This window comes from Homo sapiens, chromosome 6 (genome assembly GCF_000001405.40).
Source record: "Homo sapiens chromosome 6, GRCh38.p14 Primary Assembly".
Taxonomy (NCBI): domain Eukaryota; kingdom Metazoa; phylum Chordata; class Mammalia; order Primates; family Hominidae; genus Homo; species Homo sapiens.
The window spans coordinates 88,119,416-88,133,756 of record NC_000006.12 but is presented as its reverse complement, the minus strand read 5'-3'; the positions used below and the strand labels follow the sequence as shown (position 1 = coordinate 88,133,756).

General features: G+C 39.6%; 1 annotated feature.

Moving 5' to 3' along the window:
* Positions 7,522-8,721: an enhancer, noted in NCBI's record as "CDK7 strongly-dependent group 2 enhancer chr6:88834755-88835954 (GRCh37/hg19 assembly coordinates)". NCBI's record gives its function as "activates an origin of replication core promoter dependent on BRD2, BRD4, P300/CBP, MED14 and CDK7 cofactors, with strong dependence on CDK7, by STARR-seq in HCT116 cells {active_cell/tissue: HCT116}" and the evidence as "EXISTENCE:reporter gene assay evidence [ECO:0000049][PMID:35650434]".

Below are 14,341 nucleotides of genomic sequence, written 5' to 3'. Positions count from 1 at the left end.
TATTTTTATGGCACTATATGCTTGTGCAGGAACTCTGAAGCCGTCTGCACAAATGACAGCAAAGACAGAGCAATCATCTGGAAAATGGGAGCTAAAAACACAAGCTTTTGTTTAGGAGTAGAAGAGAAAAGATGAGGCATAAACAGCAGAAAAAGATGAAATTTATAAATGAAAATGAGCTTATTCTGATTCTTTGGATCTAAATGAAAATTCTGTAGGCAAGTGATTAAAGTATTTGCAAAGATACAAGATTTAGAAACTTAATATACATAAATATTTAGAAACAAATATACATAAATACAATAACAAATAGATTTAACATTAAACAAAGCAAAAACTTCTAAACCTGACTATATGAACTGCTCTCCTTGCTTTTCTCCCATATGCGGAGAGTGAGTGTTCAAGAGGCGTAGAAACCTAATTAGGTGTGGCCCATTGAAAACTTTATGTTCAATTTACAATAAGCATTTCTCAGCTTTGAAAGTGTTTATAATATTTCCCTGGGAGAATGAGTTCCTTCATCTACCAGATATTCAGTGAAAAGCATCTTGGCAGATTTAGCTATACAGGTGTTTTAAGACAACTTGATATATTAAAATTCAAATTCATAAAAAGCTAAATGGGGAGGGAATTATTTCTTCACATAAATACTTTGCACCTGCAAAAGAGCTCATTGCACAGTGAGCCTTGAGTTATCAACTCCTCTGGTCGATTAAAATGTAACTAAATGTTCATAAATCCATTTTACAAGAACTTTTTCTGAAACAGCTCTATTGTTCAAAGTGAGATGTTCCTACACTTTAAAACATTTTCACCTGTCTTGCCCTGTAATCCTACACAAGTGCTTCTTGCATATTTTTGTATTGTGCAACCCAGAATTCTTGGATAGGCATGACAACCTGAACATGCTCAGCACTTCAGGGCATAGGAGCCCCTCTGCAGATTTGAAATTGTGTTAGGGATATAGGCAAAACCTCAGCTATTCACAATAGCAGTGGATGGGAATTAAGTGCTTAACGAAATCCATAAATAATCCCTAGATCCCCGAATCCTTGATAGCCAAGTATGAAACATTCTGTTCTCATCAAAGATTTTGTCACTGATGTTAACAAGTGGGGGAGAAGTTTGATTAAACTCTGATGGCTTCTCTTGCTGACCTCTGTCTACAGACAGAAATAACAGGCAGGCAAGTGGTCAGAGAGCAGCACAAGGCCTGGGAACAGAGACACTCTGCAGACTGTGTAATTAGTTCCTAAATAACAAGAAGATCATAAACAAGGCAAAGAACGCTGAGCAGATTTTACTGCCATTCAGCAGTGTTTTGTCCATGTCTGTTGCATGCCCAGAAGACTAAGCACCTCAGCCTCCTATAGTGTGTTGCATCCTCTCCCAAGGCTCTCCAAAATGGCCATCATCACCAGCTACTTCCTCAGGCAATGGCTCCCTAAAGCTGCAGAGACTCAGTGAAGCTACTGTGCTGAAGCAGAAAGGATGCTAAGCCTGAGTTGAAAGCCTGACTTAGTAGCTCAGTTTGATGTTGGCTGTACTTCTTCCCTTACCCATTTATGAGGCCCCATTAAATCTTTCTCCTGGTTGCTTCAAAGGGAAAATGGCTGGCATTGTGAGCAGACAGGATCACTTCTTTGGCCACACCTTAAGTCTGTAAGGTACGGTATTAATGAAAGTTTGTTTTGAGATGGAATCTTGCTCTGTCACCCAGGCTGGAGTGCAGTGGCACGATCTCGGCTCACTGCAACCTCCGCCTCCCAAGTTCAAGCGATTCTCCTGCCTCAGCCTCTGAGTGGCTGGGATTACAGGCGTGTGCCACCACACTCAGCTAATTTTTATGTTTTTAGTAGAGACAGGGTTTCACCATGTTGGTCAGGCTGGTCTTGAACTCCTGACCTGGTGATCCACCCACCTCGGCCTCCCAAAGTGCTGAGATTACAGGCGTGAGCCACCACGCCTGGCCTAATGAAAGGTTTTAATTGCAGGATTTGGACAATGAGATAGCAGTGGAAGTAACGTTAGATGGGCTGTTTCTTCCCAGGAGCCCCCAGTAGGGCCCAACTCTATTATTGGATTTCACCCCAGTAGTTTGTTTGCATTCCTCCTTACCTTCCTCCAAGAGCACTGACAGCCAGAAGGGTTTGAGAGGAAAAGTGACAAACCTTTGCTATGTAGCTGAATTGCTGGGAGAATTCTTTTAAAAATATGATTCTGTCTTCTATGATCAAATTCAGTGCCACTTTGCTCTCTCCAAAGCCTCCTGGAGACTCAGTAGCAGTCAATCTATGTGCATAGAATTCATACATAATGTCAAACCCTGCAATGTATATTTTTTCCCAAAGGTTACATATATGCAAAGAATTAAAGGCACTGAAAGTTAAAAAAAAAAAAACAATAGTTGATTCCTAGTGGATTTAGAAATATACTTGAAATTTCTCCATGTTACTGATAGGTCTATTTCAGTCCTGATTTGAGATCTAATTTTGGGAATCAGTGCAACATAGATTGAAAAATCTAACTTGTATATTTGACTAATCAAGTTAACAGGATTATACAATAATTCTCAACTGTCAGATATTGTGTTATGATATTTTGGTAAAATTGCTTATTGCTACATTGTCTTTGACAGGCTAAAGCACTGTGCAAAGACCAGATTGCTTTACTCTATTCTTTGATGATATTTGGCATTAATCGACCAGAATTTATTTATTGATTTATACGTATAATTCCTTGATTTTAAATATCCACTATGGTTCTTGCCAACTTTCACTTCTTGCTCCAATGATGATTATTTTTACCAAATCCTATGGGATATGAAATCACTTGTAAGGGTGTTAGGATAGAAAGTGTAGGTGACAGGATGCTTTCTACTATAAAACAACATCGATCTGTGCATTTTCTGCCTTATAGGACTAGTTTGCAAGGCATAAAATGCACAGATTGCAAGGGTTCATCACACAAGTTGTGATTTATCCAATTAGAAATTCATTCAGATTAACAAGATCCTTTATTAGTCAGCTAACACCCTCATGGTACATTGAACATATTAGTCATTTATACTTTAGTGTAAATTCTTTTAAATAATAGCTTCAATTATATGTGTTTTTTGATAAGCACTTTAACTTCACTCACCATGTGCTGGACACTGTTCCAAATGCTTCCTAAATTAGTATGAGCTAATCTTGTAATATTAATCAAAGTGTCTACCTGCTATACTCGGGACAGGTCTTCCAAGTTTAAAGTTCTTCCCTAACTTAAAAAAAAAAAAAAAGCAAAGTCACAGCATGCATAGAATATATTATTTCCATATTACACGAGAGTAAACTGCCAAAGCTGCATATGGCTGGAAACCACTGGCCTCAGGCCCTATGTAGCCACTCTAAGGACTGAGGAAAATAACTCAACCCTCCCAAAGCTGTTTTTTCACACATTGGTTTAGAATGTCTGACTTAGGAAACAGAGCTTTAATTTGGCAATTATATAGAATAGGGAATATTGGAGCATGAATCATGTCTTGAGGGGAGTTGGAAAGCATTGAACAATGTGGAGCAAGAAGCCCATGGATTCTTCTAACCTGTCTGAACGTGAAACAAGACGATTTTTCTTCATCAGTTCTTAGGATGCCATTAGGCAGATTTAAAGTTGATATGGTTCTGGTATTTAGGGAAGAGATACTGTAATCCATGTTGCTATATACATCTTCTGTGTTTAAATAATATCTGCTGTATAGATCCTGATCTATTGTCAACCTTTCCTTCAGATCTGACAGGCTCTTCTGGTAATTCTCCTGTGCACATCTTGATCTCATTTCTGAGAAGGTCTGTGGGCTGCTTTCACCACCTCAATCTAATGTCTTTTAAGTTTCCAGTTCTGTCAATCAATGAAATAAGTGCTTCTTCAGCTTTTTTTTTTTTTCATTTTTCTTTTTTTTTTCAGACAGAGTCTCACTCTGTCACCCAGGCTGGAGTGCTGGCACCATCTTGGCTCACTGCAACCTCCACCTCCCAGGATCAAGAGATTCTCGTGCCTCAGACTCCTGAGTAGTTGGGATTACAGGTGTGCACCACCATACCTGGCTAATTTTTGTATTTTTGTTAAAGATAAGGTTTTACCATGTTGGCCAGGCTGGTCTTGAACTCCCAACTTCAGGTGATCTATCTGCCTCAGCCTTCCAAAGTGCTGAGATTACAGGCGTGAGCCACTGTGCCCAGCTTTTTTTTTTTTTTTTTTTTTTTTTTTGAGATAGGATTTGGCTCTGTCACCCAAGCTGGCATGCAGTGGAGTGATCTCAGTTTACTGCAACCTCCACCCCCTGGATTCAAGTGATCCTCCCACCTCAGCATCCTATGTAGCTGAGACTTAAGGCATGTGCCACCACACAGCTAATTTTTGTATTTTTTTGTAGAGACAGGGTTTTGCCATGTTGCCCAGGCTGGTCTCGAATTCCTGGGCTCAAGTAATCCATCCACCTCAGCCTCTCGAAGTGCTGGGATTATAGACATGAGCAACAAGCCTTGCCAGGAATTTTAGTCTCTAAACAAAATATTATAGTAAGTCATTTTTCCAAACAAAAATGGTTAAAGGTGATTTTGATGGGCTGCAATGGGAGAAGTTCTATATTCTTTTAAAATTAGTAAGAATATTGTTGTTCATATACATGTCATTTTTTTCTACTTGAAAAGTGTTTTCCAATAATTTGTTACTTTCACTCAATTGAGTGTATTTGTTCTCCGATCTCCATGGTTCTTATTGTAGGCATGTTCTTCTATTTCCTAGTAATAACTGGTATTATGTCAGAACCTTTCACTTCTGATTTAATTGATGTAGTTCTTTGACCCAAGAAGCCAAACATCATTTACAAAATAATTGCTTTGTAAAAACCCATCAGGCAATAGCCATTACCTGCTATTTACAGCCTAGATACTGCCATTTACAAATGTAGATACTAGAATCACCTGAGAATTCCTTAGCTTTAAGGTCATATACAAACACATAGCAAATCTGGGAATTAAAACATTTTAGTCACTGTAACATCCTCCAAAGGCAATGCAGTGATGATGGGTTTGGAAAGCAACTGGAGACCAATGGGGAGGGAAATAACAATGGAAAATGCCCAAATTATTAAGTCAATGCATTGAAAATTTCCTCAGTCTCGCTGCATAACATCTGAATTTGCAGAATAAGTGAGGTTAAGTGCAAAGTTTAGAAAACAGAGGTTCTTCCACCTGTGGGAGGTTAGACTACAAAAGGCTGCTGCATTCTTTTGTCCATAAATCCAGAGAGACTAAGAGGCAGTTAAGTTTACAGGGGTTTAGGTGATTAAGAGCATACGCTCTGGAGCATGAGTGCCTGGCTTCAAAACCCAGTTCCACCACTTCGTGACCTTGAGCAAGTTATTGAGCTTCTCTACCTCCAGTTTTCTCTGTTTGTACCTATCTCATAGTATAGTTTTGAGAGTTCATAAGAAATACACACAAATAGCAATGTAAGTCAACCATTTGAAGAATAAAAACTGACCAGGCATGGTGGCTCATGCTTGTAATCCCAGCACTTTGGGAGGCCGAGGTGGGCGGATCACAAGGTCAAGAGATGGAGACCATCCGGGCCAACATGGTGAAACCCCATCTCTACTAAAAATACAACAATTAGCTGGGCATGGTGGCGCATGCCTGTAATCCCAGCTACTTGGGAGGCTGAGGCAGGAGAATCGCTTGAACCCGGGAGGCGGAGGTTGCAGTGAGCCGAGATCACACCACTGCACTCCAGCCTGGTGACAGAGCGAGACTCCATCTCAAAAAAATAAAAAATACAATAAAATAATAACTAATTATTCTCACCTTTTCTTATTATGATGAACATCTGTTCTCCAAATAACCCATTTTCTAGAGTGAAAAATATGTTGAGGTAGGTGCCTTCCACTTTGATAACTTCTACCTGTATCATCAGGTATTACTCAGCTCTGTGGCAACCCATCCCTCCCCTTGTTGCCTGCACACATGGTCTGCCTTGGGCAGATACAAAGGTTGGGGTACTGGACCTATTGAATTTTTCCTCATTATGGCAAAGTTGCATCAGGAGCACTTTCATTGTGGTTTGGTTCTAAAAAAACTCCAGGAATGCTTCTGAATTTACATTATAATATTTGGCATCTCATACTGGTTCCAATATTTTGGCCACACACACAAAATGTTTTCATTTGTCAATCACTTCCTTGTTGTTTAACTAAAGAACTATTAGGAATCTACTTTAGGACCACATTCTAATGCTGCCAAACAGCCCACCCCTGGGCTGTAAAATAACCTGGACTCCAACCCACCCCTCCACCTCCACCCACAAATCAAAATGCCTGCGGTCTCCAGTGCAGAACACTAAGAGGGGCCTTCTTATATCTGCTATCAAGCATTTTCTTTCACTACACACATATAGAAGTATAAAAGAGCACTACACCCTTATTAAAGGAATCCATCTTCCTTTTTCTTTCACCCTTCTCCCAGCACAATCATGTGTCACAAAATGCTGCTTCTGTTAACCCTGCCATTAAGGGAAAGAGGTGTAATCTTTATTATTATTATTATTATTATTATTATTATTATTATTATTATTATACTTTAAGTTTTAGGGTACATGTGCACAACATGCAGGTTAGTTACATATGTATACATGTGCCATGTTGGTGTGCTGCATGTTCTCACTCATAGGTGGGAATTGAACAATGAGAACACATGGACACAGGAAGGGGAACATCACACACCGAGATGTATTCTTTTTTATGTTTGTTTGTTTGTTGTTTTTGAGACGGAGTCTCCCTGCAACACCCAGGCTGGAGTGCAATGGCATGATCTTGGCTCACTGCAACCTCCACTTCCTGGGTTCAGCCTCCCGAGTAGCTGGGACTACAGGCACGTGCCACCACACCCGGCTAATTTTTGTATTTTTAGTAGAGACAGGGTTTCACCATATTGGCCAGGCTGGTCTCGAACTCCTGACCTCAAGTGATCTGCCCGCCTCGGCCTCCCAAAGTACTGGGATTACAGGCACGAGCCACTGTGCCCGGCCAAGAGAAGTATTCTTTGCATCCAAATGCATTCCTCCTTTTCCTTTATAGATACTGATTATGTCTAGTTAAAAGCACTATTAATACTATTCTGCAGGAAGAGTTTGGGTTGATCTGGTTGTCTAAGAACCATGAATAAAAAGATGTCTATAGGAAAACTTCCTCCAAACAATAACTTCCTCCTTACAAACAAGCCTTGGGAATGAAAGTTACCTCTAGACTAGCTTCAGCCTCAAAGATGCTGCCTTTACCTGTAACAGCTATTAAACTTTAGTGAGGTCAGCTGCTTTCCTCTTGTTTGAGATGGGCCGTCTCGGAGAGTGAAGAACACAGCAACAGGCTATCTATCTCTTGACATACTATGACATAGAGCTGTTGTTTGCACTGGCCTGAACTGGACCTGTGGCAGCTCTGGGCAGGTTAATCATTTGGCATCCCTTGGAATGGATTTTCATGAATGATTTTTTCAAGATGCATTTAAGATAAAAGTTGAGTATTACTCTAAAGGAGACTCAAAGAGAAAAACCACCGGTAGTATTGTCAGAGGCATTTAAACCAGAACGACTCCATCTTGAACTGGGGCTGGGTAAAATGAGGCTGAGACCTGTTGGGCTGTATTGCCAGGAGATTAGGCATTCTTAGTCACAGGATGAGATAGGAAGTCAGCACAAGATACAGGTCACAATGACCCTGCTGATAAAACAGGATAAACAAAACCCACAAAAATACAAGATGGCAATGAAAGTGACTTCTGGCCATTCTCATTGTTCATTATACTATAATTATAATGCATTTACATACAAAAAGACAATCCCACCAGCACCATGACACTTTGCAAATGCCATGGCAGCATCCTGAAGTTATCCTACATCCCTACATCGTCTAAAAAGGGGAGGAACCCTCAGTTCCAGGAAATCCCTTTTTTTTTCCTAGAAAACTCATGAATACGCCATCCCTTGTTTAGCACATAATCAAGAAATAACCATACATATACTCAATTGAGCAGCCAATGCCACTGCTCTGACTATGGACTAGCCAGTCTCTTGTTTCTTTACTTCTCTAATAAACTTGCTTTTATTTTACTGTATGGACTCACCCTGTTAAATATAGTGAACTCCATGTTGCTCTTCAAAGAATCAGTTTGTTAGTATGTTCAGCTCTCTTATTCTTTGTTCTCCATTTTAAAGTTTGACTTCCTGGTTCTCTTCACCCCCTTACTTCTTGTTTCAGTAAACAACTTTCCCACCAGTTCTAATCAGTAGTTCACATCTGTTCCCTGGTCACCTGGTCCATCCTGACTCATCCCAGTCATGTGCTCTGACCTGAATCATCATGAGTCACCTGTTCTGTAACCGTCCTTCCTGCCAAAGTACTCACCCCACCACTCCAGCTCGTACCCCTGCTCTCTTTAAAATAACCAATCAGAATTAGCTTAGACTGTGCGGTCCAACCCTAGCCAATAGGGCAATGACAGAGCAGTAGAGGCTACCTGCAACAGGAATAAGAACCCCTTCCCCTCCCTTGTTCAGGTGTGGTCTTGCCATTACTCCATCTGTGAGTCACACCCTTCTGTAGAAGTAAAAATTGCCTTGCTGAGAAAATTAAATTTATGTTTGAGTGCTATTTCTTTTGCAGCACAAAAATTTATTTATAACAGCCCTGAAAGCTTTCTTGTGTAAGATCCAATAACCTTCTCTTGGAATCTGGATGGGGACTCTTTTCTAGTAACAGTATTGTCCCAATTTGTATGCCCCACCACAAAATAAAAGCCCTGCAGTTAACTGGACCTACTTTTTTTTTTTTTTTTTAGACAGAGTCTCACTGTGTTGCCAGGCTGGTGTGCAGTGGCACGATCTCGGCTCACTGCAATTTCCACCTCCGGGTTCAAGCCATTCTCCTGCCTCAGTCTCCCGAGTAGCTTGGATTGCAGGCACACACCACCACACACAGCTAATTTTTGTATTTTGAATAGAGACAGGGTTTCACCATGTTGGCCAGGATGGTCTTGATCTCTTGACCTCGTGATCCACCCACCTTGGCCTCCGAAATTTCTGAGATTACAGGCGTCAGCCACCACACCTGGCCTGGACCTACTTTCTTTAAAAGGTACTCTGTGATCTACCACCAAGCTACAATCCATTGGCTGTATTCTTGGTAATGTTAGCCTGTGTGTACAGCTGACCTTCACTTCCACTCCTGGTTAGAAAGCCTCATCTAGCAGTTGGGTGACTATGGAGCCCCGTGCTAGAGACAGCAGGCCTATATTAAATTTCCACAGGGGGTAATGAAGAAGGGAAACCAAACAGACTATAATTAGCTATTGGTTTCTTTCTTAAGATTTTTATCAAGATTCAGTTTAAGAAACAGTCTTTTTAAACCTAAATTAGTCCTCAGAGAAACGCATGAAAATCTGAAGGCACAATAAGAATACCTGGAGCCTAGTAATTCTCAGCAGTTCCATTCCAGGTTCTGTTAGGGTGTTTTAAACTACAATGAAGAGCTCTTTCCATTAAATTGAACAGTAAAAGCTTCACACAGTGCTTCTTAAGCATTCACTTGCATTGGAATCATCTTGAGTATTTGCTAAAACACAGATTGTGAATCCCCAAACCCAGAGTTTTCAATTCAGTAGCTCTGGAATAGGAACTGATAATTAGCGTTTGTAACAAAGTTTCTAGGTGCTGCTGATCAAGATGATGTATTTCTCTACCATTTTAGGTAACATCCATCACAATTGTAATTAAGTAAGATGATAATTAGCTGTTTAATATTTGTCTTCTCCTTCAGAATGTAAGTTTCTTGAGGGCAGGAATTGAGTCCATCTTGTTCACTACAATAACCCCACTTACTTCTATGGTGTCTCAAATATGTATTTGTTAAATGAATAAATGTTGTAATATTTATTACTTTGCTGTCTGCTTCCATCTTTCTTAAAATCATATTTTTCTTAATAAGAATGGCAGTTATAATAACAAGAACTAATGATCATTAAGCACTTAAAACATACTAGAAATTATGCAAGTTTTGACAGCCATAGTCTCATTTAGTATCATAACAATCTTCTGAAGATTTTGTAGCATTGTTCCCTGTTTCACAGTTGAAGAAACTGAGATCCAGGGAAATGAAGTAACTTGAGACAGGTCCCATTACTGGGAGGTTACAGATCCAAGATTTAACCCAGGCAGTCTGACTCCAGGTTCTTAAGTACTGTATTACCGTGCTTCCTGTATACATCCTAGTAAAAATTACTATATGTTGTCCATGATCTGCCCCTGTTTACTTCTCAACTCTTTCCTTCACGCTTACACCCAGTGGCCCAGCCATACCATGGTGCTGTACCATGCGTTTTTTACTTTTAATGTTTTTTCCCTCATATTTGGTCTAGAAAACATCTACTTATCTTTCAAGACTCAAGCATCTTGTAACTGCCTAACAGGTTCTCCTTGCCCGCTGCCTAGACAGAGCTGATTTCTCAAGACAGGGAAATTGCAATAGAGAAAGAGTTTAATTCACACAGAGCCAGCTGTATGGGAGACTGAAGTTTTATCATTACTCAAGTCAGTCTCCTTGAAAATTCAGGCATTGAGGTCTTTAAGGTTAATTTGGTGGGTAGCAGGTCAGGAAGAGGGGAGTGCTGATTGGTTGGATCAGAGATGAAATCATAGGGAGTTGAAGCTGTCCTTTTGTGCTAAGTCAGTTCCTGGGTGGGGCCACTGGACTAGATGAGCCAGTTTATCTATCTGGGTGGTGCCAGCTGATTCATCAAGTGCAGGGTCTGAAAAATATCTTGAGCATCAATCTTAGGTTTTACAATAACGACATTATCCATAGGAGCAATTGTGGAGGTTCAGAACCTTGTGGTTTCAGGCTGCCTGACTCCTAAACCATAATTTCTAATCTTGTGGATAATTTGTTACTCCTGCAAGGCAGTCTAGTCCCTAGCCAAGAAGGGGGTTTGTTTTGGAAAAGGGCTGTTATCATCTTTGTTTCAAAGTTTAACTATAAACTAAGTTTAACTATAAACAAAGTTAGTTTGGCCTATGCCAAGGAACGAACAAAGACAGGTTGGAGGTTAGAAGCAAGATGGAGTTGGTTATGTCAGATCTCTTTCACAGTCATAATTTTCTCAGTTATAATTTTTGCAAAGGCAGTTTCAACCTTAAACTCTATAAAGCTTTTTCTGACTGCCTTCTGCCTGACCCCATTAGATAGGCTTGATCACTTCCCTGTCTATACCCTCCCTGTGCCCTATTCATCTACAACATTTTATTGCTTTTTATTGCACTAGTGTTGGTCTGTTCTAGACCTTGCTCCACAAAGTCAGGGACTGCATAGGTCTTAATTGATTTTTGTATCTTCAGAACTTAATACAGATCTTCCTAGTGGGCATTAATAAATATTGCATACAATTCCCTTATTCTCATAATATTTATAATCTTTATATAAAATAAAAACATGCCTCTTTCTGATATGTAACCTCTTATCACACTAAAACTTATCCCTTTTAGCGTTTTAAATTTTAATCTCTCTTGTTCTTATGTCTAGAGGTTCTATTTAGTTTTTTCAAAATCTACATAGTCTTAAATTTATTATATTCAGATTTCGGTAGCTAATTTTGGCTTATTTGTATGTCTTGATTCTCCTTCATGGTGATTCATTTCCTTGTGCAGTTTGTAATTTTTTAATTTGTGAACTCATCTTCTGCAGGGCTTATGTATCCCTAGAGATCTTGATTGCTCTGGATGTGGGAGAGGAAAAAAATGCTTTTGAGTCCTTTCAGATTTGTTTCCACTGGGGACGTCAAGTCATTGAATAGTGTAAAACCAGTGGAGGAGACATTCAGACCATAGCAACAGGTGAAAGATCAAATATCTACTAAAGAATTCTATGCCCATAATAGAAATTGAGCATCTTTTCTTTATTGATCTATATTTTTATACTCTAAGTTTTCCATGGGGTAAAACCATGTCCAAATGCAGCATGCTCTGAGATATCTGGGTGCCACGTAACAATAACAAAGCCCATGTATGAAAAGAAGTTATATTGCCCACATGGAATGGGCCCCTCAACATATCCAGTCCAGGGACCATGGGTATCCTAAAAGAGCAAGAGTGAGAATCAAATCCCAAATAAGAGAATTCACATAGCTCACCTTCTTTCCACTGCTTGAAATCTTTTCTCTTATTGAATCCCTTTGGTTCTTGAAATGTTTGGTTTTGTCTATTGGCTTTTTTAAAATTTAGGCTTTTTAAAAAAAATTAATATATTGTCTCCAACTGTTTTGCTTAATTCTGATTATAATCCATTTGGGCACAAGTTCTGGAAATTTTTCATCACCTTGAAACCCTCAAGTGAGAATAAGCAACATTCTGTTAGCTAGACCCCAATGGGCCCCATCCCCAGTCTTCCTTATATGAAGGGAGATCAAACCCTTTAAATCCTTTAACATCAATGAAATACTGACAGAATGGATATTGCAAAGGTATATACAATTTCTACACCAAATATTTTATCTTCACACTAGATACAGGGAAAATCTACTCGCCTCTCCCTGCCCCCGCCGTGCAAAAAAAACAAAAACTAGAAAGTGTGACTAGTTTCAGATTTCATTACAATTGGGGGAAAATGCAAATATTTACAAATGGAAATCAGAAGCGTAAGCACTCCTGAGTATTAGCTTCAAAACATCTTGCTAATTAGGCAGCCTTTGTCATCTCCTTACCTTAAGTCAGTGTATGCAAGACCAATCTATGCAGAAGCACTTGTTTTTACGGGATTTTTTGTTAATAGTAAAAGATGTTTGTGTCAAAATGCAGTATTTAAGGTTATCTTCTCATTAAATATGACACTTGTCACAGCATGATTTCCAGCAACAAGGGAGAGTTAATGCAAATAGTTTAATATTACCATGTCTGTGATGTGTTCCATTAGTGTCACTGTGTGTTGGGTTAAATATACTACTAGCCTGTTATATCTCCATTGTCCCTTTATCCTCATGGGCTACTGCACCCAAAAGAATGAAAGTGTCACCCAGCTGTGATGTGAGTAAATGTAGGGATTGGAAACCATTCTTTTAACCTGTTATGATTTTTTTGACCAGTAAAAAGCACTCAAAAAGCTTAGATTAAACAATTGGCAATTCAACTGTTGACAACGCACCGTGTTCAGGGAGCAGAGGTGGCTTAGAGGATTCTACCATGCTGTCATAATCTTCCTGATGTTCTCACATGGCCCCGTTTGATGGAAGCTGCTAAAAACACCAGTTTGGAACATAAAAGTTGTTTGTCTTTCGTTTTGCCTCCTATCCAGGCTCCTATCCTTCTGATAATTTGGCTTCTTCTTTGGGGGCTCTCCGACTTTGGTCAGTAAGTGCAGTCTGAGAATCTGAAACATGTGTGGGGAGAGAAGTGGAAGGTCAGAGACCATGACAATCTCATCCAGCAGGAGTCCACTTCAGTGCATCTACTGGGGTCAGTGAAGGATGTTGATGAATGTTAGCATGGCTGCTCCTGAAACCAAATGCTTTCATTGGGATATAATATTGCTTTTTTTCCGTGACTCTGCAGGGTTTCTGTGGCATTGGGCTTTGTTTGAAAATTCAAAGAATTCTCCAATGGCAAGCTTGGCTGTTCTAAAAAATAATCAATTAAAAACCCAAGTGCTTTAGACACTATGACAGCAAGTCACAAATGTTCCTAGTTTGCATAAGAAAAAAAAGAAGAGAGCTTGAATGTTTTTTAGTACCAAGGACAGCGACAGCTGTCACCTAATGGGGTGAATTCCTCTCACAAAGAAACTCTAAGCAGTAGAAAATGCCAAGGTCTATCATTGTGTTAGCAGGTTAAACCAAAATATAATATGTTCTAAATATTTTATTGTGTGATTGGTTTGATTTGATTGCTTTGTAGGAGCTGCAGAGATGTGGAGAGAAAGGTGACTGCCTTTCTTTAGGTGCTGTAGTCTTATCAGTTTTGTCACCATTTGATTCTACTGACTTCCGAGAAAGGTTTTCCCAAAGTGTAATATGTTTTGTTTTTATTTATGCATTGGGTATATCACCCTCATCTAGCTGTCTCATTCATCACTGCACCAACTTTATCAACACCTGGAAATAACATTATGCACACTGTACAGCTATATTTCTGTAGTCTTCTCTGGACGTGAATGGTGAGAAACATTCTTTCTGACAAATCTCTTCAGAAAACAAGCATGGAATATATCACCTTTGCCTGGAAGGTGAAAGAGGTTTGGAAGAGGGCCCTGAGCTGTATGTTCTAG